General features: G+C 51.6%; 1 protein-coding gene across 2 annotated transcripts in view, besides 3 other annotated features; it reads left to right on the forward strand.

Moving 5' to 3' along the window:
* Positions 18,293-18,826: an enhancer, noted in NCBI's record as "H3K4me1 hESC enhancer chr12:125670133-125670666 (GRCh37/hg19 assembly coordinates)". NCBI's record gives its function as "activates a minimal SCP1, AML or CMV promoter by ChIP-STARR-seq in primed H9 embryonic stem cells {active_cell/tissue: H9 hESC(primed)}" and the evidence as "EXISTENCE:reporter gene assay evidence [ECO:0000049][PMID:30033119]".
* Positions 18,875-19,084: a silencer, noted in NCBI's record as "silent region_5081". NCBI's record gives its function as "represses an Ori minimal core promoter by ATAC-STARR-seq in GM12878 lymphoblastoid cells {active_cell/tissue: GM12878}" and the evidence as "EXISTENCE:reporter gene assay evidence [ECO:0000049][PMID:35858748]".
* Positions 19,092-27,539, forward strand: part of TMEM132B (transmembrane protein 132B) — a 475,992-nt gene continuing 467,544 nt past the window's right edge. For both annotated transcript variants that reach the window (NM_001366854.1, XM_047428245.1), the window contains exon 1: positions 19,092-19,572. In NM_001366854.1, coding sequence (NP_001353783.1) covers positions 19,506-19,572 — 67 coding nt within the window. In that variant the 5' untranslated portion in view covers positions 19,092-19,505. The remainder of the gene's footprint in view (positions 19,573-27,539) is intronic.
* Positions 26,621-27,152: an enhancer, noted in NCBI's record as "H3K4me1 hESC enhancer chr12:125678461-125678992 (GRCh37/hg19 assembly coordinates)". NCBI's record gives its function as "activates a minimal SCP1, AML or CMV promoter by ChIP-STARR-seq in primed H9 embryonic stem cells {active_cell/tissue: H9 hESC(primed)}" and the evidence as "EXISTENCE:reporter gene assay evidence [ECO:0000049][PMID:30033119]".

Genomic DNA, 27,539 nt, shown 5'->3' on the forward strand with positions numbered 1-27,539 from the left:
AGGAGTTCGAGACCAGCCTGGCCAACATGGTGAAACCCCGTCTCTACTAAAAATATGAAAACTAGCTGAGTATGGTGGCACATGCCTGTAGTCCCAGCTACTCGGGGGGTTGAGGCAGGAGAATCGCTTGAACCTGGGAGGCAGAGGTTTCGGTGAGCCGAGATTGTACCACTGCGCTCTAGCCTGGGCAACAGAGGGAGACTCTGTCTCAAAAAAAAAAAAAAGTTATTACTCCCTCTAGACTGAGGGGAAATGGAAAGTGAAGAATATAGAACTATTCTAGTCCCTGAGACCAAGAACCAGCCCTCTCCGAAGAGAATGTAGCTACTACAAGAACATGCAGTTTGCTGGATGAGGACACTGTCAGACGACGAAGCCTGCAGCTAGTCCATATACACCATCTGCTATTGCCAGAGCATGTGAGTGGCCACAGCTGTTCTCTAAGAAATGCCCACCAGGTGGGGAGAGCATGGTTCAAGGGCAGAGTCAAAGGTGGTTGGTTGAAGCTGCTTGCTGGGTGGGGCGAGGATGGCCTGAGGGGATGGCTGGAGCTCCTGCAGAAGTGGCCACTGGGTGGGGACAGTGTAGCTGAGGGTCCCTCAAGGCTACTGTGGAAATGGCCACCAAGTGAGGAGAGCATGGCCTGAGAGGGTCACAGAAGCTGGCCTGAGAGCTGCTGGTAGAAGAGCTGCTTGCAGTAGGAGAGGAGGACAGGAACCCAGAGTGGATTGGCTCTCCTGCTGTATAGCTGCACAGTGTAACCCATGCCTTCTACGGACAAAGCCGAACATTCTACCAGCTGGCAAAGGAGAAATGTTTCCAGGGGTCAGCTCCAGGATCACCAAACATGGCAAAGAAGGATGGGTTTGGAGCCGAGTGACAATAAATTGACAAGTGGAACAGGAAGAAGGACCCAAGAGGCTGGGAGGAGAGGTTTGGGGAGAGTTTGGAGAAATTAGAGGAGGTATGGAGTGTGAAGGACATGGATCAGGGAGGGGAGGAGAATTTTAAGAAATATTTCTGTGGACCATGTGTTGCCTTTATAGCATTCAAGAAATGCAAATAAGGGGCCGGGCGCGGTGGCTCAGGCCTGTAATCCCAGCACTTTGGGAGGCCGAGGCGGGCGGATCACGAGGTCAGGAGATCGAGACCATCCTGGCTAACACAGTGAAACCCCGTCTCTACTAAAAATACAAAAAATTAGCCGGGCATGGTGGCAGGCGCCTTTGGTCCCAGCTACTCGGGAGGCTAAGGCAGGAGAATGGCGTGAACCCGGGAGGCGGAGGTTGCAGTGAGTCAAGATCGCACCACTGCACTCTAGCCTGGGCGACAGAGCAAGACCCCATCTCAAAAAAAAAAAAAAATGCAAATAAGGACCGTAAGTTACGTTGGAGTTCCCTTTTGGCTGAGGGACAGTGTTCATTGACCACAACACTACTTCGAGACTGGAATACTTGGGTCCTGGGTTTCTAAGTGGGTTATGACAGTTTTCTCTTAGCCTAAAGCAGAAATTTACAACGAAAGTTTTTCTTTTTAGGTTTATTAGAGCTGCCCCAGGGATCTTGTTTTATATTATGGGTTCTTGTCTCTCTGTAAGTTGCATTGGAAATTTGGAAGTCCAGGTTTTAGTATTTATTTATTTATTGAGACGAAATCTTGCTCTGCCACCCAGGCTGGGGTGCAGTGGCATGATATAGCTCACAGCAGCCTTAACCTCTTGGGCTCAAGTGATCCTTCTGCCTCAGCCTCATAGGTAGCTGGGACCACAAGCATGCACCATCATGCCCAGCTAATTTTTATATATTTTTTGTAAAGATGGGGTCTCACTATATTGTCCAGACTGGTCTTGAATTCCTGGGCTCAAGTTTTCCTCCCACCTTGGCCTCCCAAAGTGCCGGGATAACAGGCGTGAATGCCTGTGCCTGGCCCAGGTTTTAGTTCTGAGTTTCAAGTTTCATTGCATGGTGTGATGCTGGGGCAGGTCACTTAATCTCTCTGAATCTCAGATTTTTTGCCTAACGTGGGGGATATAAAGTCTGCCCATGCAAACTCTCAGGGGATATTGCCATGATGAGGTTGGATAATGGGTATGCAATTGCTTTGGGCAAAAGACAGTTTTCATTCACTTAAGCGAAGCTGTTTGTACCCATACAGTCAGCATATTAGCAAGAAATGTTTTTGCTTGCAAACACCAGGAAACCCCACCACTGTGGAGTAGTTAGGATTTATTTTTCTCATATACCAAGAATTCTAGAGGTGGTTATTTATGGGTAATGATAAAGCTGCTTAGTGACATAAGGACCAAAAATCTCTGTGATTCTCTTGCCCTTCTCCTCATGGTCACAAAATGATTGCTGTGACTCCAGCCATCAAGGCTACATTTAAGCAGGAAAAAGGGATAGGTCCTGGTCAGGCACCGCTGTTCTTTTTTTAGGTAGCCTTGCTGGCTGTCTGCCAGGGCTGCTTTTAGCTCCTAGAGGCCCCCTACGTGTCTTCTCATTGGGCTCCTCCATCTTCAGAGCCAGCAGCAGAGATCCCCAGATGATCTCCAGACTGTTTTATTTCATCTCACGGGACAGAAGTAGAACTGCAAGAGAGTCTGCGGCAGGGGGTATTTAGCTTTCCCACCCCTTCTAGAGCGAGGAGGCAAGGGAGAAAGAAAGAAGTTGGGAACGGGTGTTGGATTAGACAGCTGACAGTGTCGGGAATAGCTGGCAAGTTCTAGATGGCAGCAGCTGAGACTGTTGGGATGGCGGGGAAGCAGCCGCTGGAGGATTTTGACTCCCACCCTTGTAACTGCTGCTCCTGTGTATCTGAGCCCTTTCATGGGGCCTGGCTGCATCTGAATAGCGAACATTTCACTTCGGAGGTGGAATTATATTAAAAATCAGATGCTTGTCATTATGCAAATGGATGTCTCACTATTGCTTAGGATTTTCATTTTTCTATGAATTATTCCTTTTTTCAGTGCTTTTTTTATTCCCCATGGAAGAAATAAAAACAACCACTGGCTGATCAAAGGAATTTTCCAGTCATTCAGTCAACAGATATTTCCTGAGTGTCTGTGCTGGGCCAGGAACTGTTCTAGTCTCAGGGAAATAGTGATGAAAAGACAGTTTCTGCAGCAGTAGAGCTTGTATTCCAGGGGAGGAAATAAGCCATCAAGTGAATTAATAAATCAAATAACTTAGGAGAATGACACATGCTATAAAGACAGTAAAACATGGTAGATCACTAGCTTCATGGGTGGGAGGTCTTCTTTAAATGGGGTGGTCAGACAAGGTCTCAGAGGAGGCAGTATTTCAGGAGAAGCCTTAAAGGTGAGAGGAAGCTAGCCATGCAGCGATCTGGGGGAAGGGTGTTCTGGGCAGAGGGAACAGCGAGTGCAAAGGCCCTGATGTGGGAACAGCATAGTATGTTTGGGGAAGAGAAGGATATCCAGGAGGCTCCAGCACAAAGAGAGAGGACAGAACAACAGGAGATGAGGTTGGAGATGGGTGGGGCAAATGACACAGGGCTTTGGAGAGGCGATTGGGTTAAAGATTCTGTCTGCTGGGGCTGGTTTGTTGGCTTGGGCCATTGAAACTTAACCCATTGGCCAGGCATGGTGGCTCATACCTGTAATCCCAGCACTTTGGGAGGCTGAGGTGGGCAGATCACTTGAACCCAGGAGTTCCAGACCAGCCCGGGCAAGATGGCAAAACCCTGTCTCTGCAAAAAATAAAAAAAATTAGGGGGGAGTGGTGACATACACCTATAGTCCCAGCTACTTGGGAGTTTGAGGTGGAAGGATCACGTGAGCCTGGAGTTCAAGGCTGCAGGGAGCTATGATCACGCCACTGCACTCCAGCCTGGGTGACAGAGCAAGACCCTAAAAGGAAAAAGAAACAGCCTGTTAGGCCATTGTCCTGGCATTACCTCCCTCTCACATTATCTTGTGAATTATTGTGTCCATTGTGTATTTCTTGCCCATTGTCCATTTTCCTAATTTGAATGTAAGCTCCATGTAGAAGGAGTCTTGTCTGTCTTGCTCATGGCTATGTCTCCAGCACCTAACACGGCCTGGCATATAGTAGGTGCTCAAAGATATTTAATGAATATGTATTTGTTTTCTGTTGCTATGTAACAAGTTACTCCAAACTTAGCAGCTGAAAACAAAACCCACTTATGAGTTCCCAGTTCTGTAGATAGGGAGTCCAGGCATGGCATTGGCAGGGTGTTCTGCTCAGGGTCTCACGAGGCTGTAATTAAGGGGTTGGCTGGGCTGTGTCCTCATCTGGAGCTTGGGACCCTCTGCTAAGCTCGTGTAGTTGTGTCATGTGGGGGTTGAGTTTCTGTGGTGGTCATACTGGGGTCCCCATTTCCTTGCTGGCTGTCTGCCAGGGCTGCTTTTAGCTCCTACAGGCCCCCACATGTCTCCTCCTTGGCCTCCCCCATCTTCAAAGCCAGCAGCAGAGAATCTCCCTCAATTTGAATCTCTCACACCTCAAATTGCTGACTTCAGAAAGAGTCCAGTCTCTTTTAAGGGGTCACTCAGGCTAATTTCCCTTTCTCAGGGTCAACTGCACCCTATGACAACCTAATTACAGGTGTAAAATTCATCATATTCACAGCCCCCTGGGGATTAGACAGGGCAGGAATCTTAGGGGCTGCCCTAGAACTCTGCCTACGGAAGAAAGTAGGAATGAATCAGTGCTCATTCTTCTTCCCCATGAGAGCCATTTCCATACCCCAGCCAGCCCAACCACACCTGCTTGTTGGTGGCTACAACTTTTGTCTTACGGTTGCTGGGAGCGCTCTTCTTCTGGCCATGGGTCTTCAGTTGTGCCTCTGTAATGGGTGCATGGTCCCACCTTAGGGCTTTTGCACTTTCTGCTCCCACTGCCCGAGAGCCTCTCCCTGTAGACCCCTGAGTGGCCCCTTCTCTCACTCTCTGCATTTGCTCAAATGTCATCTTTGCAGACTCCCTTCCCTGCTTAAAATCATCCCCTTCCACTCTAAAAATACTCTTTGCCTGTTTGACTTTGCAGTTGTTTTCACCCACCCTGCTCCGTAGTTTACTTATTTATTTGGTTATGGTCTGTCTCCCTGCACTAGGCTGGCGGCTTCACAAGCACAGGGAATTTTGTGTGTGAGATCCGCTGTCACATCCCCAGTGCCTGTGATAGTGCCTGGCTCACAGTCAGGGCGTAATAAGTTTCTGTCCAGGGAATGAATGAATGAGGTTTAAGGAGAACAGTTTTAACTTTCTTTATCTGATTTTTCTTTTTTCTTTTGGAAAAACCTGAGCAGGCACAAGTCTCCCTTCCCCAGGCAGCCTCGTTATATAATCAGGGCCCTGTTCTGCAAGGAGCTGTCAGCGCTGCTTCAAGCAGTTATATTTAGTGTTTACAGCCTCTCCTTTTAGCTGCATGAGATCTCCCGAAGAGCTCTGGAAATTAGGCCTTGCTTCAATAGGGAGAGGGGGCTCCTGGCCCAGTCCAAGGGGGCCCCAGGGGCTGGTGGGCACTCGGTGGTGGCAGTAGCCAAGCAGCCCTGACCTCAGGGTCAGCCCGTGGCCAGTGTCAGGTTCAGAGCATCCACATCTAGGGATGGAAGGTGAGTTTGTCCTGTAAATCACAAAGATAGGAGAAAACAAGGATGGGAGTAGAAAGACTGCTTGGCGTTCAAATCTTGGTTCTGACACTTGTTAGCTGTGTGATCTTAGTCCAGTTACTTGACCTGTCTGGGCCTCACCTTCCTCATTTGCAGAATGGGGATAGATCCAGCATATCTTGATTTGGTGAAATCATTCACGGGCAGTGTCTTGCACAGGATAGGGGCTGCACCAATCAGTTATTTTTAGTTGTGTTCTGAGAGGCCCCTTGCTTGGTTCTGAAGAAGGAACAGGTACATCTGAGATGCCCCTGGTGGTGACTGGATGGCAGACCCACGTCCCTGGGGGTGACTGATGGCAGACCCACACCCCTGGGGGTGACCAGATGGTAGACTCATGCCCTTGGGGGTGACTGATGGCAGACCCACGCCCCAGGTGGGTGACTGGGTGGCAGACCCACGCCCCAGGGTGTGACTGACGGCAGACCCATACCCCAGAGGGTGACTGATGGCAGACCCATACCCCAGAGGGTGACTGATGGCAGACCCATACCCCAGGGCGTGACTGATGGCAGACCCATACCCCAGGGCGTGACCGATGGCAGACCCATACCCCAGGGCGTGACTGATGGCAGACCCCCTGGTTTTCTCTGTTCTCCATGCTGTGCTTGCTGCTCCATAACGTCCAGGGAGCTCTCACAGATTTGCTTGGAGGTGTTATTTTGGGATGAGCAGAGCTGTTTCTTAGGCAGGGGCCAGCAGATTCCAGTTCATGGGCCAAGTCCAGCCCATCCCCAGTTTCTGTAAAGGCCCTTGAGCTAAGAATGGTTTTTGTACGTTTAAATGGAAAAAAAGAGAAGAATCTACAACAGAGATGTTGTATGGTTTGCAAAGCCTAAACTATTTCCTATTGTCTCACCCTTTACGGAAAACTTTGCTGACCCATGCCTTAGAGGACGGAGTGCAGTGGGAGTGGGGGGGGTGGGCTGGTGGGGGAAGGGTAAGGCCCAAAGCAAATTCCTGTGTGGGTATCCCTTGCCCCCCACTGTAAAACCCAGTAAGTTAATAATGGCTGCTCCTTACCCAGTACCTAGTATGTGCCAAGCACTTTATCTGTGGACATATTCCAAGCCTCAGCCCAACTCAAGACATAACAGCCATCACCAACCCCATTGTATAAATGGTGAAACTGAGGCTCAGAGAGGCTGAGCTGCCTGCCTGAGATCACACAGCCAGTGAGTGGCAGAGCTGGGATTTGAACTGTGATAGTTTCTGACCTGGGAGCCTGTGCTGTTTCCCCTTCACCCCAAGGCTTCCCAAGAGGCAGTATCAAAGGACATGGAGAGGGACATCTATGTGACATCCATTGACTTTTCTGCCTCCTCCTCCCCCATCCTGTGGTCACCGCAGAAACTGTTGGAGCAGCGACCCTGTCCCCAGCATACCTGGCCCAGGGAGGCTGGAGTAATCCGTGCCAGACAGGATAATTTGGTTGCAAGTGACAGAAATCAAACTGTGGATAATGGTGGCAAGCTATGGGGAGGCTCACGGAGTCAGCAGGAGACCTGCTGTAAAACTCATCTGTAAAACGGAGAGCCAGGCTGGAAGTGGGTGGTACCAGGTGAGCTTGCTCCTCCTGCCCTATTCCTGCATCCCTGCTTACAATGGATGTGTTTGAAAGGGAGAGTCTCATGGGTCTGACCTGGCTGCATGCCCACCCCTGGCTAGGAGCGTGCAGGGAGCCCCGAGGGAGGTGATTCTCCAAAGGGATTTAGCTCTGATACAGAGATAAGGAGGATGCCACTGGCCAGTCAGGAACGAATGTCCCCTCCAGTGGCCTCCCCAGGACCAAGGGATGGCAGCCTCAGCCTTCTCTTGACCAGAGGGGTGGCTAACTCTGGCCTCTTGCTGGCCGTTTTCTTTGCCACATTGATGGAGACTTAAAGAATGCCCATCTGCATCCAGCGGGAAGACTGGAGAAGCAGAACGGGGCTTTCTGTGCTTCTTACAAAGCCATTCCTGGCTTCCAGCTCACTCCAGAGACCCGGCTGTGCCCATGCCCTTGGGTTTGGTGAAGCAGCCCTGGACTCATGTAATAAATTCCTGTCTTCACACAGCCTCCCTTCACGGGCCTTCTTTTACTTGCAAACCAAAGTGTTTTAATTGATGCAATGGCCAAGAGGCAGGTTTGGCAGGGGGCAGCCCTACTTACTGGCCTTTGTGACAAAGATTGTTTTCTCCCAATCTCCCTTCTCCTTTTTGCATACGAACAGAAACCTAATGCTAACTGGCCACCCAGAATAAAGAAAGGTACATCTCTCAGCCTTCCTTGCTGTGTAATGTGACCGTGTTCTAAGTTCTGATCTATGGGATGAAATGAAAGTGTGTGTGTTACCCTCCCAGGAAGTGTTTTTAAATGGAGAAACTGTGCTCTTCTCTACTTGCTTTCCTGGTTGCTGGCATCTGAATGTGATGGCTGGAGCTCAGCAGCCACTTTGGACTATAAAGTGACTTGGGAACTGGAGGCAACAAAATAGAAGGAATCTGGGTTCCTGACACCATGCAGCATCATACCTGCTTTATACTGGCCACCTCTGGACTTTAAGAATTTGAAAGAAACAAAGTTACATCTTGTTTAAGCCTTTTTTTTTTTTTGGTTACTGATAGCTAAACCAAGTCCTAGCTGCTGCAGCCTTGGTGGTGATTTGCAAGGGATGGTATGGATATGTTTCTGGTAGACTGTGCTGTTGTTCCCAATTCTTCATCTTGCTCTGTATTCACACTCTTTGCCATGTGATATTGCCATTTTTCCTACTAAGGGCAGAATGTCCTTCTTCACCTTGGCTTTGCACTTGCCCATGTGACATGCTTTGGCCAATGGGATATTAGCAGACATGATGCAAGCACACCCTTGAAATCTGGTTGTGTGGTTGGGCTTGCCCTATTGTGTTTCCATCATTGCCTTGAGATGACCCTGCCCTGGCTCATCTGCTGGCCCAAAGAGAAGGAGAAACACTTGGACACTGGAACCAATGCACAGCTCATAGAAAAGCCCAGCTGAGCCTGGCATGGATCAGTGGATCCTCAGCCAAACTGCAGATGTGTGAGCAAGAATAAGTCATTGTGGAAGCCACTGAATTTCCTGTTGGTCTGTTACACAGCATCACTGTGGCCACAGCTGGCAGATACAGTGTTCTCTCATCCTTTAGTAGAACTAGATGGTAGTGTCTCTCCATTTTCCCCTCCCACTGCTCCTGAGCCTCTGCCCAGCAACTCTCCCTTCTTGTCATCCCTCCTGTCCACAAACTCAAGGTTACATAGAACAACCCTGCCTACTTTCTAGACGCCAGGGCTCCTCGGCCTGGAGTTTCTGTCTGCTGCCTCAGTTACCTCGCTCTTGTCTGAATTCTCTCAGGACTTGTGACTAGAAAGGAAAGAAGTCACGTGTGATGTGACTCTGATGTTCTTCCTTTGCAATGGCCATGAAAGGAAGACAGAGGGTAGAGGAAAGCTCTAGGTGCCTTTCCATCCAGCCCAGGAACCCGGTGATGGTGCATACTAGGGAGACCCTGAGACGATGCTGACGGTTAGCAGAGGCGGGAGCTGGCCTCTGAGAGATGTCACACAATGCTGCGTCCAGGGGCGTGCATGTCCTTGAGTGTCCAGAGCATCTCAATGTACCTTGGGAATTCAGGCAATGCAAGCATGTCCAGCTCAGAGACTCACTCGTGTTTCTGAAATCTGCAGCAGAAATCAGCAAAAGGCGTCACACCTAACAGCATCCACAATCTTGGTGGGAGCCCTTGCACCTGCCTGCACGACCTCCTCGATGAGGGAAGCCACTGGCCTCTCCAAGAGCCATCTCAGCGACCAGCCCAGTCCTCAAATCCCAAGGAGTCACGTGGACAAAGGCTCTTTTCATGGCCAGTTTATTTGAGGTCTACAAACTCAATCTTGTTTTATTTATTCATCTTTAATATAGACTCTCTGTTTTATGCAATTAATAAGAGATTTCCATTTCAGGTTAGTTCATTATACATTATGAATTTACAAATGTCAAGGTGATGATCACAATGAAATATAGATGGTGTGGTTTCTAGGATGCTGTACCCAGGGGGACTTCAACAGTTGTGTTTAATAAATGCAGTGGTGTCCCTCGTTCCAGAACAGATGTGAGGTCTGCCTGGGGGCTGATGCAGACCTGAGCACCTTGGCATCTTTAATGCACATGAATTTTCATGGCAGGGATCCCAGTGTTTTCAGCAGGTCCTGGCTTTCCCAGCCAATCCGATTCTGTTCCTGAGGTTCCATCATCAGCTCTAATAGCCTGGTTGTTATTCCCTGTTTGCTTTCAACATGGATGGAGGAAGTTACATAATACTCAGTGGTGAACAACGGTGTGGGCCACACCATGGATACAGCTCCTGCAAGGGCAGCTCCTGAGGGGTGACTGTCACCCAGTGACAGTGCTGTGTCCCTCTGTAGTTGGCTCTGGGTCTTGGCATCTGGAATCCCCTTCTCAAGAGACAGAGGAAGAGCACTGTGGTGGCTCAGAGAGGGCCCTGGGGACAGCTAGGTCTCAGTTCAAATCCTAACTCTGCCATTTGGATGACCTGGGGCAAACTGATTAAACCCTAGAGCCTCAGTTTTCTCATCTGTAAAACGGGGATAAAATACTTCCCTCAGTGTTCCTGGGATGGTTAATGGGTTTGTCACCTTGGAAGATCTTAATAAACAGTAGGACAAAATGATTATAGTCATTTTGTTAGGTGTTAGAGAATATTCACAGTGGGACACCTGCACTGATAATAGTGGGGTTTCCTCCTCTAAGCCAGGGAAGCATAACGACGAGATCTGGACACGCTGGAAGAAAATTCATCAGCTGGGTGAGGTGGTTCATGCCCATCATCCCAGCTACTTGGGACACTGGGGTGGGAGGATCACTTGATTCCAGTAGGTTGAGGCTGCAGTGAACTATGATTGCATTGTTGCATTCCAGCCTGGGCAACTGAGTGAGACCTTGTTGTTGTTGTCGTTGTTGTTGTTTTTTACAACACTTTGGGAGGCCAAGGCAAGTTAATCACTTGAGGTCAGGAGTTTGAGACCAGCCTGGCCAACATGGTGAAACCCCGTCTCTACTAAAAATACACAAATTAGCTGGGCGTGGTGGCAGGCACCTGTAGTCCTAGCTACTCGGGAGACTGAGGCAGGAGAATTGCTTGAACCCAGGAGCTGGAGGTTGCAGTGAGCTGAGATCGCATCACTACACTCCAGCCTGGGCAACAGAGTGAGACCTGTCTCAAAACAAAACAAAACAAAAAAAGAAACCCAACAACAACAAAATTAGGGTTTACTGAGCTCTAGGACTTGCATTTTGGGAGGGCCACCCTTCCCCACTCTCAGGCTGTGTGGTTCAGATGGGGCTCATCTCCCTCCCAGCCCCAAGGTTGCACATGTAACTCAGGCCTGGGCAATTACCATAGTCCGTCCCCTTGGGCACAGTGATTAGTCCAGGCATAGGCATGTGACCTCACTGTGGCCAATAATATTCCTTTCCTGCCACTTTCCTGCTGAGATTAAATCCTGAGTTTGTTGAGCCCCTGGAACCAGCCAAGCCTGAAGCCACGGAGACTTTGAGTATGTGAGTCAATAAATCCCTTTTGACTTAGGTTTTGTTGTCATCATAAAAATAGAACACTATTCTGAGCCCTGTGGCTCCAGACAAGAAGAAAACTCTTGGCTCCTTGTAGGCTAAATGTAGTGACTTGGCGAGCCAGGCAACTCCAAGGCAGGCCCTCAGAGAGGACGTGCAGGACCACATCCATCAAGCAGCCGTCTCACCTCCCCATGACATTTCTGTAATTCCACTCCATCCTGTCCGTGCCGAAGGGATCACTTCCTGTACCTCCATGGAGCTGTAGTGCTTTGCAACCCTAATTAACATTAATCCTAGTGTGGTTCTAAATGTGCTCCAATTTTCCCACAGGAAGCTCTCCCAAAGGACTAAAGAATAAATGTAATTTGCAAGAGAAATCAAAAATATTTGTAAGCATACAAAGGCAAATGTGGTCAAGAGAAAGAGCTATGCAGATGTGACAACCCACCCATTTTCTCAACAATGGAATAATTATGGCCCTTCACATCTGGACAGATCTCCAGATTTTTAACAAGGGGTAGTGGACCTAAAAGTAGTGTAATAAGGCTGGGTGCGGTGGCTCACGCCTGTAATCCCAGCACCTTGGGAGGCTGAGGCAGGCAGATCACCTGAGGTCAGGAGTTCGAGACCAGCCTGGCCAACATGACGAAACACCATCTCTACTAAAAATACAAAAATTAGCCAGGTGTGGTGGTGCATGCCTGTAGTCCCAGCTACTCGGGAGGCTGAGGCAAGAGAATTGCTTGAATTCAGGAGGTGGAGGTTGCAGTGAGCCAAGATCGCACCACTTTACTACAGTCTGGGTGACAGAGCAAGACTCCGTCTCAAAAAAAAAAAAAATGTAATAGGTAATGGTAAAATTACAACTAGTGATGATTTCACTGATTTTCTAAATTTTATTGAATTATCTTGATATTTACCAATTCTTGATATAGAATGAATACCTGAAGTTTTAATCTTTTAATAGTTGCATAACACAGAGAGTGTAGGTTTAAAATGAGTCAATTAACCAGGTTGAGTTTGTAGACCTTGAATAAAGATTTGAGCAAATGGCACTGCCGTACATTCACAGGAATTCGAATCAGCATAAGTTTTCGGAGAGCCAGTTAATGTGAAATTTCTAAACTGCGTATCTTTTCATTTTACAATGCATTTTTAGGAATACATCCCGAAGAACTCATCTTGCACATGTATAATGGTGCAGGAATAAGACTGTTGCTTTTTAACAGTGAAAAATTGTAAATGACTTCAAATGTTTGGCATCATAAAAATTGGTTAAACAAATTACAGCATATCCAATGATAGGACTGTGCAACATCATTAAAATTATCATATGGAAAAACATTTAAATGCCATGGAAAGATGTTCACAATATATAATTACATATGAAGAGCAATTTAAAACAGTACATATCATGTGAACCCATTTTTAATTAAAAAAACTATGTCGAGTATGCATAGGAAAGGGACTGGAGAAATACATTAAAATATTAGAAGTGTTTATCTTTTAAAGGTGGCAGTTTTGCTTTTTGAATATTTGTATCTTTGAGTTTCTGCGAGGAACAAAGAATTTGAAAAATACTGAGTTATGCCACATCAGAGAACTAATAATAACAATATAACTCTCACAAAGTCAGTTTAAAAGAAATAGAATTTTCTACTTTTTTTTTTTTTAACCATTTGACTTAAGGTCTCAGGCTATTTTGTTGATGGGATAAATGCATATAACAGTCCACTTGGGGCTTTTCCTGAACCCACCGTGATGGTTGATTTGGCTGTCAACTTGCCTGGATTAAGGGGTGCCCAGATAGCTGGGAAAGCACTATTTATCCTCAATGCTCCTGCAGGGAGTGGGGTTGTCCCTCTTCTGCTGAAAGGGAAGCCCAGGTGGTTTGGTATTTGATTAGGATGATTGGGCTGTCCCAGGTGCGCTTGTGAGGGTGTTTTTGGAGGGGACTGGATGTGAGTCTGTGACCTGAGTACGGAAGCTCCTCTGCTGGCGGGGGTCCAGATGCAGTAAAAAGGTAGAGGGAGGGTGAATGCGTGCTCTCTTCTGCATCTGGGTTGCCCTCCTTCTCCTGACCTTGACATCGAACTCCAGGTTCTCTGGCTTTTGGACTCTGGAACTTACACCAGCCCCCAACCCTGCAAACTCTCAGGCCTTCAGCTTGGACTGAGAGTTACACCACTGGCTTCCTTGGTTCTGAGGCTTTCGGATTGGGACTGAGCCCCATCACTGGCTTCCCTCAGTCTCCCACTTGTGGATGGCCTCTTATGAGACTTTTTCACCTCCACAATCAAGTGAGCTGATACCCCTAATAAATCCCTTTGCATAGCTTTCGTTCTGTATATCTTTTTTTAAAAAAATTATTTTTATTTTTGGTAGAGACAGGGTTTCACCATGTTGTCCAGGGTGGTCTCGAACTCTTGACCTCAGGTGATCTGCCCACCTTGGCCTCCCAAAGTGCTGGGACTTATAGGTTCTCTGTCTTTCTGGAGACTCTGACTAAAACACCACCTTTCTTAATTAGGCTGCTTTTTGCTGAAAGTAACGGATGTCCAAATAGCAGTGTTTAAACAATGCAGTTTATGAGCTCAATGCAGAATATCAGCTCAGTGAGTGCCCCTGGCCTTGGGACTGCACTTCTGGGGTGACACATTGGCTCCAGGATGTTGCCAGGATCTGTCTTTCCACTCTCCCACCAGTAGCCATCAGTGGGCACTGTGGTGCCTCATGGGCACAAGAGGCTGCCAGGGCCCTTCCCATCACACTTGTACTCAACAAGCTGCCAAGAAGGAAGAGGGAAGAGGGCAAAAAGGAACTTTGTCTCTCTTGTTTGATCAAGGAAAGTGGTCCTCCTCCAGCTCCTCTTTACATCTCATTGGTCACTCTGACCCCCTTGCCTCTTCCAGAACCGTCCCTGGCTTGAGGGAATGTGGTAGGCTGAGACCTGTTAGGATTCTGACCCCGTCCCCAGGGCTGGGCATGTTGCCACTCAAACAAATAGGGAGCCTCTTGGGAAGGGAGACAGGGCTGCTTCTAGTTCCTGGGGGTCTTGGGTTGTGCTGAGGCATGGTGGGTGGAGAAGGGATGGTTGGCTTAACTCATCCATCTTGGTTAACAGACACTGGGGTTGGACTGCTTGGGGTTAAACATGATTCTGCCATTTGCTGGCTGACAGTGCAGCCATGGAAAAATTGCTTCATCTTTCTGTGCTCCAGTTTTCTCAGCCAATAAAATGGTTATGGGATTAAATGAATCAAAACACGCAAGCCCGAAAGAATTGAAAACAGGTGTTCTAACAGAAAATTATACATGAATGTTTACAGCAGCACTATTCATAATAGTGTTTCCAAGGTAGACAGCAACCCAAATGTTCATCAACAGATGATGGACAAACAAACATGTTCTACCCACGCAGTGGAATATTAGTCAGCCATAAAAAGGAGTGAAGCTTTGACAGGGTACGACGTCGATGAACCTTGAAGACACGATGCTGAGTGAAAGAAGCCAGACACAAAAGATCACACACTGTATGATCCCACTTAAATTAGTTAGTGGAGCAGTCAAATTCATAGAGACAGAAAGTAGTCTGGTGGGTGCTAAGGGTGGAAGGGAGGGGAGAATGGGGAGTGATTGGGTACCAGGTTTCTGGTTGGGTGATGAAAAAGTTCTGGAACTGGAGAGTGGTGATGGTTGCATAGCACTGCGAATGTACTAAGTGCCACTGAATTGTACACTTTAAAGTGATTAAAATGGTAAATTTCATGTTATGTGCATTTTACCACCATTAAAAACCAACACACGTGCAAACTGCTTCGAGCAGTGTCTGGTATGTATTCAATGATGCATCATTATTTATTATTATCATTATTATTTGTTATTAGTCTTGTTCTGCTCTAGCACACTTTACACTTGCTCCAAAATCCCATCCCGATGGTGCCTTCACCCCTGGCTGCCACCTCACACCCTTCCCAGCCCCTGCCGGTCCAGGAATCATTTTATCCTGGGAAGCCAGGGGTCAGAGCTCTTCAAGGTGCTTTCTGCTCAAACACACCAGAAAGCCATTTCTCCCCTGTGGCCTCCTCCCAGTTGGGAGTGGACCTGGAAGGGAAGTCAAGTCCTTCCTGGTCTGAGTGTTCATGGGCTCACATCCCAGGGCTCAGTGCTTACTGTACTGTCCAGCCCTGAGCTCCTTTCATTCATACATTAATATAACCAGGACTGATTGGGCCACTCTCTGTACATATGATGCTGGGTGGTAGCCACTGTTACGAAGAAGAACAAAGCAGGGGAGGGGACAGAGAGTGATATGGATGACTGCAAGTTGCCATAAAGAGGCTCCTTCCTTCCATCATGGGTCCATATGTCCAGGTGTGCAAGTAACTGATTTCTTGAAATTCTTTATTCTTAGTAAATCCTTGATTACCTGTATAAGTGAGCTTGGCTTCTATTTTGAGAGGCCCCTTTCCCCTACCACTCACCTGTGGTGCAAATGCAATCTAAGTCAATTCTGTGTTCCCTGAACATGCCAGAAACATCGATGTGTGCAATGGACAACAAACAGTCCCAGGCTTTGCAAAGAATTTCAACGGGTGGTCACCACGGCAGCAGCTGCCTGCGTGTTGGCGTTCAAGGGCAAAGGGGTCTGTTATTGCCGCTGCCAGTTGGCTGAGGTGGGGAAACCTCTCTGCCTATTCGCCTCCATCTCACCCCTACCCGCACCCCCACCCTGACCTTCCTTCTGCAGCGCCCTCCAGACCTGCAGTTCCAGTTTCAGCCACGAGATGGCAATGTTGCTCTTCGCCGGTAGCCCGGCGGGCGCGTGGGCTGAGCTGCAGCAGAACTGGGGTGCGGGGACGGACCGGGAGCAATCCGTGCTGGAGGCAGTCTCTTGCTGTGCAGGGGGTGGTGCGGCCTGAGGAAGCCTTGCATGGCTATGCTGGGGCTCGAGGCTGGCTGTTAGTCGAGTCGGCCTCCCCACACTTACAGATCCAGGAGAAGGACAATTCCTGGACTCAGTATCCCATCTATACTTAGGGGGAGATTGTAGGCTGTGTAATTCTTACGGTCCTGCCCAGGCTATGAGGCCAGCAGGCTGGGGGCGAGAGTCTAGGTAGGAGTGAGAGGAGAATTCCGCTCAGCCCTGGGGTCTCCTCGTTACTGCCGCCAGCCTCTCAGATTCCCCCCCGCCCTTCAGAATCCAGGGAGGCTTTTTTCCCCTGCTTATTTCCTCCAGAAACACCCCCTTTAGAGATACAGGCTTAGGGGCATGGTTAATATGCAGAAATCCTCATCCAACCACAAGACAGGCTGAGCCAGGCTGGAATTCTCATCCCTACCCCACGTATGAGCTCAGAGAGGATTAGGGGCTTGTCCAGAGTCACACAGCTGGGGCATGGAAAAGCTACCCTCAAAAGGAGATTCCTCTCTTCAGCGTCTGGCTCAACCACCATCAGCATATTTTAATGGGGAAGTGCCCTTCCCCACTGAAAGGTGCTTTCTTGGAGTATGACCAGGTAGTCCTGAGTGTGGGGTTGGGGGGAAGGCAACTGCCATCTGCCATCACACCTGGGACTGTGTGACCACTGGCTTGGGGACTTGCTGGACTGATTCACAACCCTCTCCAAGCACCGCCACTAAAGCCACAGAATGACCCCTTACCCTGCCAGAAAATGACTTTTATCTTTGGCCACAGTCTCCCAGCCTCACTGACCTGCTTCCTGGTCAAACACACGGTTCACCTTGGCACCAGCACCCCGCGGTCACTCCTGCTGTGGCTCTCCCCTGCTGTCGTCCATTCATTTCTGCTTCACCATCCCCTGCAGAGGCCGGCACACAGTAGGTGCTCAGCTCTGCAGATGCTTATGAACAAGTGAACAGGAAAGAGGTGTTGGGGGCAGCCGGGCACAGAGGACCCTAAGAGAGTCCTGACCACGTCTCCAGGATCATCCTCTTATCTGGGGAAAGGGTCACAGAAAGGGGACAGATGGGCCCCTCGCAAGGCCACCCTAAGCCCGAGGAGACCCCCAATCCCGTCGTCCAGCCTGTTGTATGGCTCTCCACACATTGCAGGCCTTGCCAGGGAGCCCAAAGGGGGCTTGGCCTGGGCATGGGCCCCTTGTAAAGGAAGCCGATTAACAGCCACGGGAAAATCCCTTTACGTCTCCTAATTAACCTGGGCTGGAGACTCACCACCTGCCCCTGGCTTTCTTCCTTCTTTTATCTAGGAAGAACTGAGTGCTGCCTCTGCTAATGAGCTTGTCTGTACTAATCAAGCAGGTGCCCTGTCCCCCATCCCCTCTTGGCAGCCGGGAGTGGGGAGGATTGTCCTTCTGATGTGAGCTCTGGGCCCGCAGAGGAAAATCAGATCTATCATAATAATGGCCATGATGATGAGAATGATAATGTTGACACTGACTCCTTTAAATGAGTTCCGACTTCCTAGGTCAGGGGCTTTGTATGTGTTATTGGGGACACCAGGTGATGTGCAATGCCTTCCATCTCTCAGATGAGAAAACTGAGGCTCAGGGAGGAATAAGGGACTCGCCCCAGCTTGCACAGCTAAGGAGCGGCAGAGCTGGGATTCTCAGCCAAGACTCCATGACTCCAGAGCCTTCCCCAAATCTGTCTTTTCATCACCCCACGCTGCCTTATTGACCATTTTCAAAGAGTTTGACCCACTTTTTCATGGAAAACTGAGATGGCAGAGCAAGTGGCTGGTGTGGTGGGGGCTGGGGCGGAGCCAGGACTCCAAGCCACCCTCCCAGGTGGGCAACCCCCCATATCCCCTGTCCTCCCAGCGTGGTGGGGAAGCTTGAAGGCATCTGAGCGCTGCTGGAGGCTCCCCCACATGCTCCCAGCATGACTCATTCATTCGGCTTAGCCCCCCGTGGCTTTGCCCTGGTTGGGGGTGGGGCGCCCAGGAGGATCAGTGGTTTCTGGGATAATAGGTACTGGGGCTCCGTGTGACCTGTGACCTCCCTCCGCACTCTGGCTGCGTCCCTGCCCCTGGATGGAAGAATTCGACCACCTAGTACCCGGCCCTGCGCAACACCTCCGCTCCGTCACTGCCTGACCCTGCGCTGGGAACTCATTCCCGGGACCGCCAGGGAATCTGCCCTTCCCAGGAGAACTCCTGGCTGCCTCCGCGTGCTCCTAGGGCCTGCGCGAAATGGGAAGGCGCATCCTCTAGCCTGGGTAAATAAGGGACCCTGCCTCACCCGGGTGGCCATCCCCAGGCCGCCTTCGCTGTGTTTCAGGTCACCGCACCCAGCCTGCGCACCCCTAGCCCCCATCCCGGTGCCGTGCAGAGGCTCTGCACACAGCCTCGGCCTCCCGGAGGCCCTCCCCTCTCTCCTCTCCCCTCTCCCACAGGCACTCCCTAGCTGTGCCACATTTAACCCGGGACCTCCTGTCCGCGCTCAGTCTTGCAGTCTCTGGCCCCGGCAGACACCACCTCTCCAGAGGTCGCTGCCCCATCCCGGTGACCCTCCGCTGGCCTCCTCACCCCTCGACCTTGGCAACTCCTACCGCTGCGCCCCAAGACGCCGGATCTAGCTGGGCATCCCCTCTCTGCATTGCGCACCCCTCCCGCAGCCCCTGTACCCGCGAGCGCCCGCGACCCCCGGCGGGCTCCCGGAGCCTCCCGGCCGGGCGCCCTCCCCCGAACCGCCGAGCAGTGGCGCGTCCCGCCGCCTACTGGCCGGGCTGCCGCCTGTGCCCCGGCTCCCGGGCGGCCCCTCCCCCGGCCGCGGCCCCGCCCTCCGCTCCTCTCCTCCTCCTCCTCCTCCTACTCCTCCTCCTCCTCCTCCTCCCCCCGGCGCTCGCTCGCTCGCTCACTCTCTCGCTGGCTCGAGGGGCGGCCGGCAGATGGCGATGGCAGAGGCGGCGGCGGCGGCGGCGGCGCGACCGGGATGGGACGGGCGCTGGGGCGCAGGAGCCGCGGCGGCGGCGGCGGCGGGGGCCGCGCAACTCGGGCCAACTGCGGGGCAGCCGGCCAGGGCGCGGGGCGCTGAGCCTCGGCCGCCCCAGCTCCCCAGCCACGCACGGCCGAGCCCAGGAGAGCGCGCAGAGGCGCAGCCGAGGAAGCGCCGCCAGCGCCGGCGCATGCGTCTGGGGAGGAGCGGCGCGCTGGGAGCGAGCCATGCCCGGCGCCCGGGCGTAGCCGCCGGGGGCTGCTCCGGGAGCCGCGGGCCGGGCCGGGCGCGCGAGAGGAGCAGCCCCGCGCCGCACCCACCGCGCGCCGAGGACCATGCCGCCCCCGGGCCGGGCGCCGCCGCTCGGGCTCCTGCTGGCGCTGACTGCGCTCCAGTGCCCAGGTAACGCGTCCCCGGACCCCATCCCCGACCCCGGCCGAGGCGCACAAAGTTGGGTGAACGGGCGGCTACCTCCTTCTCAAGTCCCTGGCAGCGCGCATCTCCCGGACTTGGACAGACCTGGGGAGACCCTGGGAACCCAGGAGCCCCCGGCGCGTTCCCCTTTGCCTAGCGCCTGGGGAGAGCCCGCCTGCCTTCTCCCCCAAACCCTTAGCTTCCTTGCGGATCCTTTCGGGACGCACGGGGGCCACAGACCGGGGCACTCAGCCTCTCGAGGCGGGTGGGGACGCGACTGCAGGAATCGAGCCCCCTCCCCGCCCTGCCTTGGGCCAAATCCCCCCCAGGTCCCAGTTCCTCCAGGGGTTTTGCTGGGCGGGGGCGTCGACGCAGCCCTTCTCCAGTGTCTTGCTGCCCGCGGTCGCACAGTGGTGCGTTCCCGGGACACCTGCGGGCCCCGGAGATGTCTCGGCCGGCGCTGTCTGGCTTGTCCGCAGCCCCTCCCCACGCCCCGCGGCCCTCCCCTGCTTTCACACTGCCCTCCCCAAGCTACCCACCCTCGCCAAATGGCCTCCTCTTGGCCAAAGAGCAGCCCGCTGCGCGCCTCCTGCAAACGCGGTCTACTCCAGCGCCCTGACCCCAAGGCGGGCGGGAGAGGGTAGCCGCGGCCAAGCAGTCCAGGACGCGCCGGGGAGCCTGGAACGCGGTGCTGTCCAGAGCCATTGCCTGGGCACCGGGGAGCTGGACTCCCTGCTGAACCAGCTCAGCTGTCGCCCAATCCTAGTGAGTGGGAAAAGCAAAATAGTCAGGTATTGTCTGTCTTCGCTGGAGTTTGGAAAGCTTTCTACCCACCTTGGTGTGGCTACATGTTGGTTCTATAGAAAGCGTATCCTAAAATGACAATTCCTCCCCTCCCCCCACCCCATGCAAGCAGTGGAGAAAATCCTAAAGGCTCAGATGAACCCCGGGAACAGTCACGAGCAGCCTTCATGTGCTTTTGAAATCTCAGTTCTCCAAACCTTTTAAAATCAAGACCCATGATTTGGGAACAGGTAGCTTTTGCTTTAGAAAATCTCTCCCCATTTCCTTAACAAACAAATCGCACAGACAGGCAGAATGCAGTAGAAAAATACAACTATAACTTTTCGGCTTTCACTGTCTTGGTAAGGTTGCAGTTAGGAGCAAACCTGGCATGTCAACTTGATGTTCGATGTATTTTATTTGCATGGAAAAAGTCAGTGTCGGCTTCCTTTGAGATGCCCTTAAGTGACCCAAAATATTTACCAACACCTTCGACTTGAAGAAAACCTTCTATTGGAGATCTCCGTCAGCGTTCGGCTTTGGTTCAGCCTAGAGAATGGCATTGGGCTTAACGTGGATGAATCTTGCCTGCTTGGCTAAGGAGCAGCTATGATAGCTGTTTTGCTTTCGGCATTCCTCTGCGGTCCACGAGAGGGGCTGCTGCTGGGGCCGAGGCTGTTTTCTCTTAGCTGAAGCCCTGGGACCTGTTTGCAAAAGTGCAGTCCCTCGGACTTGAAAATTGCAGTTTTGTCTCTATTTTGTTTCTCCACGGGGGTCAGCATTTGCCTGGATGTGCTTATAAGTGAATATCGGAAGTCTCTCAGAGAAGCTGCCTGCATAATGCTTTGTAAGAGAATAGGATGGTCCCCCTACCACCCCCCCACCCCCGTCCCCCGCCCTCTCCCCCAGCAACAGAAGAGCCTGTGCCTGGCTCTGGAAGGCCCCATGTTGGGAGGGAAGGTGAGCTCCCACTGAAACCTGCTGCTGGCCGGCTCTTTGCCTGCTCCCCTGCTGTTCTTTGGGAGAGTCTCAGCAGGGCAGCTCGTTCCGACAAATGCCGTCCGGGCAGAGCCCCCAGTGCCATCGCCCCGTCCCTGGAAGCACATGCAAGTCTTTAACTGGTCCCTACCAGGGACATAAAGAGACGACAGTTTGATAACTCTATATTTAGCACTAGTTAGGAGGGATGGCAAAAAAAAAAAAAAAAAAAAAGAAAAAAAGAAATTCCTGAAAGATACTTAGCTGCCTACACTTGGTTTTGAGAGGTTCAGAGGAATTAACCAGAGCTTCCTTCAGGGCTGGTTGGATTTTCTGGGTGATTTCTGCCATGGTTTACCGACCCCCTTTGGCTGAGGCTCTGGAAGAGGGGCTGGAAGAGTTCAGAGGCAAAGATGCGCACACTGTCTCCCATCACACACACGCAGGGACTGGCTTCTTTGTCCCCCACCCCCCTTCCTGCGTGGGTAGCTGCCATGGTAAAGAGTAGGGTGGGTGTACTTCTTTCAGCCTTGCAAGTGCTTAAACATATGGAACTGTACTTGGTAAGAGTCAGCACAAATCCCCCAGCTTAGCGACTAGGGGGCCCCTATTATTCGAGCCACTTTTGTACATGCTGTGGCTTTGCAAATTAGCGGTGCAGTTACAGTCCCTGCTGAGGAAAATGAACGAATCTTGCTTCGTTGACTCATTATGCACGGGGGTCTAGGGTCTATGAAATCAGGGTGGGTGGAGCACCCCCACCTGCCCCACGACAGAGGGGCCACATTGAGTGGCAGGGGGGAGCTTTGGCTTTCAGGGCAGAGGCTCTCTTCCTCCTGCCTGGCACCTTGGTGTGGCATGTGGTATATTTCTCATTACAATAGTGATGGGGGGGGTGCCTGTGTGTGGCGCTGCCCTTCAGAGAGGTGGCATTGGGAAGTGGTGGGGAGTGGTATGCAAATGTCGTCGCCTTCTCCAGTGATTTAATGGCTGCACAGTGGAGGTTCCCAGAGTAAATCATTTCATCCCCTCTCCTCCCACCGGATGCAGGGAGTTGGGGAGGCGTGGGGCTTCTGCATGAGCTACTGCACTCAGAGCCAACAATGAGCACGGTGGTTGCCTTGATCCAAGGGAGCAAAAGAAAACCCTCATTTGTTGGCTGGGAGTCTGGGGTGGGGGTGGTCTCTGGGCCGGCAAAGCCCTTTCAGGGGCCTTGTTCCCAGATGCGTCTCCCAGCTCTATGTGGCTGGGTGGCTCCTTTCTTCTCTTCTGTGTCTCAATTTGAATGGGGATGGAGGGGGTCCATTTCCCCTGAAGCCATGGGACTCAGCAATCACTGTGGCGAGATGGAGGCACCCTGGTACCGTGGGTGACGGGGGTGCTGCCAACTCTTCAGCAGAGTAGGTGGGTTGACTTCTAGAGCAAGAGGGTGCCTCAGAGCCCCTCCTTCAGCAGCCCCCGGCAGATGGGAAGGAGACTTGGGCACAGGGACCGCCTGTTCAGGGTCACACAGTGAATTGGAGGCCTGGGCTCCCCTCTCCTTAACTCCTCACCTATGACTTTCTAACCCTGTACCTGGGAGCTCTTCTGGTAGAGGAGTTCTACCATACAGTCCTTTAGGGAACTGTGACTCCATACAAGGATCCCAAGGTCATGAGAATGACAGCCGCCTGGCCTGGCCAAGACAGCCAGTGTCAAATCCGAAAGTTAGAGAGCAAGTCTTAGTGGTGATGGTGATGGGAAAGGGGTGGTGATGGGGATGGGAAAGGGGTGGTGATGGGAAGAGGTGGTGATGGTGATGGGAAGGGGTGGTGATGGGGATGGGAAAGGGGTGGTGGTGGGAAGGGGTGGTGATGGTGATGGGAAGGGGTGGTGATGGTGATGGGGAAGGGGTGGTGATGGTGATGGTGATGGTGATAGTGATGGTGATAGGGAAGGGGTGATGATGGTGATGATGGGGAAGGGGTGGTGATGGTGATAGTGATGGTGATGGTGATGGGGAAGGGGTGGCGATGGTGATGGGGAAGGGGTGGTGATGGGGAAGGGGTGGTGATGGTGATGGGGAAGGGGTGGTGATGGTGATGGCAAGGGGTGGTGATGGTGATGGGGAAGGGTGGTGATGGGAAGGGGTGGTGATGTTGATGGGAAGGGGTGGTGATGGTGATGGGGAAGGGGTGGTGATGGTGATGGGGAAGGGTGGTGATGGGGAAGGGGTGGTGATGGTGATGGGGAAGGGGTGGTGATGGTGATGGGGAAGGGGTGGTGGTGGTGATGGGGAAGGGGTGGTGATGGTGACGGGGAAGGGGTGGTGATGGGGAAGGGGTGGTGGTGGTGATGGTGATGGTGATGGGGAAGGGGTGGTGATGGTGATGGGAAGGGGTGGTGATGGTGACGGGGAAGGGGTGGTGGTGGTGGTGGGGAAGGGGTGGTGATGGTGATGGGGAAGGGGTGGCGATGGTGATGGGGAAGGGGTGGTGGTGATGGTGACAGTGACGGGAAAGGGGTGGTGATGGTGACAGGGAAGGGGTGGTGGTGGTGATGGTGACAGTGACGGGGAAGGGGTGGTGATGGTGATGGGGAAGGGGTGGTGGTGGTGATGGTGATGGTGATGGGGAAGGGGTGGTGATGAAAGCAGGTGCTTCTTCCTGTGCTGCAGGCACCATCCAGGCCTTTCCCTGCATGAACTTGATGGGATGCTCACCACTCTGGCAAGTGGACACTCTCATTATTCCTAGTTTACAAGGGAGGATCTGGAGGTCCAGAGATGCTAAGTAACTTGGCTGAGGTCACACAGGATTAGGATCCCAGCCCAGGCACTGGTCTGTGTCTTACCCAGCACCTCACGCAACCAAATTTCACTCTCTAGCCTTGTGCGGAATGGTGTGGCCCGGCCTCTGAACCAGCCAGGCTTATACTCCCAGGTGGTGGGTAGTCGTTAAGCTCCTTTGATGTGCTAGCCTTTGCCGAGTCTTTCACTTCCTTTCTGTTCCCTCTCTCTTTGCAACAAATAAATGTATTAACGCAAACTAAGGCTTAGAGCCGTAGAAATCAAACACATCAGAGTCAACTCTGTAGGCAACTGGGAGTCCTTTCAGATTCTGTGCCCCTGAGTGATTAGATGGCTATGTTGAAGGGCAAGACTTTGGCAGGCCGAATTTTGGTCTCATGCACTGGAATACTGGTTTATCCCCTTGGCCACTGTGAGACTCAGTTTTCCCATCTGTAAAATGGGCCCCAAAATTCTCCCTGGCTGTTCTCATTACAAGGCTGGGGACTTCAGCAAGAAAGAGGTTCATAAATAACAATGGTGTGCTGATGCGTGAGGCTGTTAGCACAGGGCATGAGTCCCAGGACAGGAAAGGAGGCAAGAAAGGAAGGGCTGATTGGGGACACGTGCTGCAGCCATCACAGCTGCAAAGAGAAGAATCATGTACCTCAGAATTAGTAGTAACACAATAACTAACCCTGCTGTTGGGCACACTGTGTGTTCTTAGCCCTTCGTTAGATTTTATTTCACGGATTCTTCAACAACCCTAATGGGGTAGGGACTTCTGTTTGTCCCATTTTACAGATACGCAAACTGAGGCCCAGAGAGGCAATGTGAGGTTTGCAAAGTCACACAGCCAATAAGTGATGGGGTGCAAGTGTGAACCCTGGTGTGTCTGTCCCAGAGTTGGTTCTCTTAGCTACTACATTCAGTTCATGGGCACTGAAGTTTTGGTGCAATTTATTGGATTTTGAGGCTGATTTGCACCCAAGGGATTAAGGGATGTGTCTTGAGTCAAGGGGAGAGTTGGGTTTTTTGTGAGAAACAGAGTTTGGAGAATTTTCCCCTCCCCCAACCCCCATTTATTTTAGAAATGAGGTCTTGCTCTGTTTCCAGGCTGGAGTGCATTGGCTCAGTCATAGCACACTGCAGCCTCAGACTCCCGGGCTGAAGACATTCTCTTGCCTTGGCCTCTCAAAGTGCTGGGATTATAGGTGTTGAGCCACCATGCCTGGCTGAAACCTGTCCCTTCTAAAGTCCACCTCCTCATTCGGGAGCCCCGGCCTGCTTCGGCAGGAGGGACTTGGCGTTTGTGGAAACAGCAGATGTGGAAGGCCCCTGGAAGGCGGATGGCTGCAAACTTCTCTTGTTAGTCACCAGGATTTACAAATTCAGAGATGTCAGTGTCACAATCCAGTTTCTGTCTTTGCTCAATAAATTGGGAGATCTTGGAATACTGGTTTAGCCCCTTGGCCTCTGTGAGACTCAGTTTTCCCATCTGTAAAATGGGCGCCGAAATTCTCCCTGGCTGTTCTCATTACAAGGCTGGGTGGTTCAGCAAGAAAGAGGTTTGTAAACAACAACGGCGTGCTGATGCCATTGTTGTGCTAACAACAACAGCCTAACAGCCCTGAGGCTGTTAGCACAGGGCACGAGTCCCAGGACAGGAAAGGAGGCAAGAAAGGAAGGGCTGACTGGGGACACATGCAACCATCACAGCTGCAAAGAGAAGAATCATGAACCATCAGCCGTCTGCCAAGTGGTTTCTCACTTCAGGATTTCATGGGATTCTTGGGCAACTGTTGAGTGAGGGGTAGGATGTGTCCTCAGATGGGGACACTGAGGCTCAGAGGAACCTAGGGACTGACTCAAGATAAGTCAATCCATGAATGGCAAGGTAGGGTCTCCTCCCCAGAGCTCATGACTTCTGCCCTGATGGTGCCTTCTTGTCCTGGAGTTTTGCCTCAATTTCCCTGCCCTCAGGCCTGGGTGCCTGTGATCTCCAGGGCTTGTGTTCTAGGGCAGGTTGGGTGATGATGAGGAGACAAATAAGAAGCTCATAAATACACCCACAGGAAAATCCCAGACATTAATTTGTGTTTTTCATGGTCAATGCAAGGCGATATGATGAAGAGTGACTGTGCGATCCAGGAAGACTTCTTAGAGGAGGTGGCAGTTTTCTAATTTGAGACCTTAATGACCAGAAAGAGCCAACTGAGAGAAGGGGGTTCCAGGCAGAAGGCATGTGAATCCTTGCACGGTTCTTTGCAGAGTGCCTGGCACACAGCAAGTGCTCAAGAAATGGCAACCAGCTCATTCATTCATTCATTGAACAGAGGTATAAATCGGGGCTAAGCACTTGGGACACAGCAGGGAACAAAAGAGACAAATCCCACACTCTGTCATTCTTGCAGAGCAAGACAACAGTGAAGCAGTGGACAAAGAAATCTGAACTTCAATGTCAAGTGCCATGGGGAGAGAAATGAAGCAGAGGAGCTCAGAGGAGCTGGTCATCGCTTTCCTGCTCCACCAGCTGTGTGGCTTTCCATCTTCCCATTCAGGGCAGAATGGACTCTCAATGCCCATTCTCTGCCGGCTGGGGGCAGGAGAGAAAGAAGCCTGGGTTCTTTGGAGTTGAATTCCAGTGCCTTCCCTTGGCAAAATCAGCTGGTTCTGCAGCCAGGGTGCTCCTGTCTCCCTTTCCTGACACCTGACTCTTAACTGATCAATACCCTCTCCTTATGCTTCGGCCCTAAAATAGTTACATAAAAAATCAATACAGTCCAATTTGATTTGCTGTATTTTATTACTGAGGGTGATAGAGTTGCTCGGTGCTCCGAGCCTGGTCTGAATTAACCCGTTGGTGGGGGGGTCTTACTCATTGTGGCCACGCCTCCGAGTCCGGGATGCAGTGCCCGGGAGGGGTGACTCAGTAAATCATGCCTCAGATGTCTGCTTTGTGTCCTGAATGCCTCCTGCCGGGGCTCTCAACACATCACAGCAAATGGACACATGAAAATACTGCCGTGGCTGCAGCCGGCACTCCTGGGGTGACTCCCCCGGGCCTTCCAAGGGGTCTTGGCTTTGTTTTTGGAACTCTGGAAGTGGGGCTGGCAGCACCTCATCTCCTGGCTCCCGGAGTCTGCGGCTCTTTGTTTGCTGGGTCCTCTCCGTGTTGTGTACTCTGCCGACGTATTTATGTCTTTGGCTTGGTATTTTTCCTTTCTGTAGTTGTGCCATCTGCTGCTGCAGGCTGCTAGCATTCCTGGCGAGCAGAGGGGGCCAGGTCAGTGGGGTTGGGGGGCACCTGGGCAGAGAGATGGCAGAGGTGGGAGGGCCGGGTGGGAGGGGAACCTGTTTTTTGCGAGTCTCTAGGTTGGGCAAGGGAAGGGAAGGGGGAGGCATGGTGTAGATGGAAAATGTTATT

The sequence above is a fragment of the Homo sapiens genome, chromosome 12, assembly GCF_000001405.40.
Source record: "Homo sapiens chromosome 12, GRCh38.p14 Primary Assembly".
In the NCBI taxonomy this organism is placed as follows: domain Eukaryota; kingdom Metazoa; phylum Chordata; class Mammalia; order Primates; family Hominidae; genus Homo; species Homo sapiens.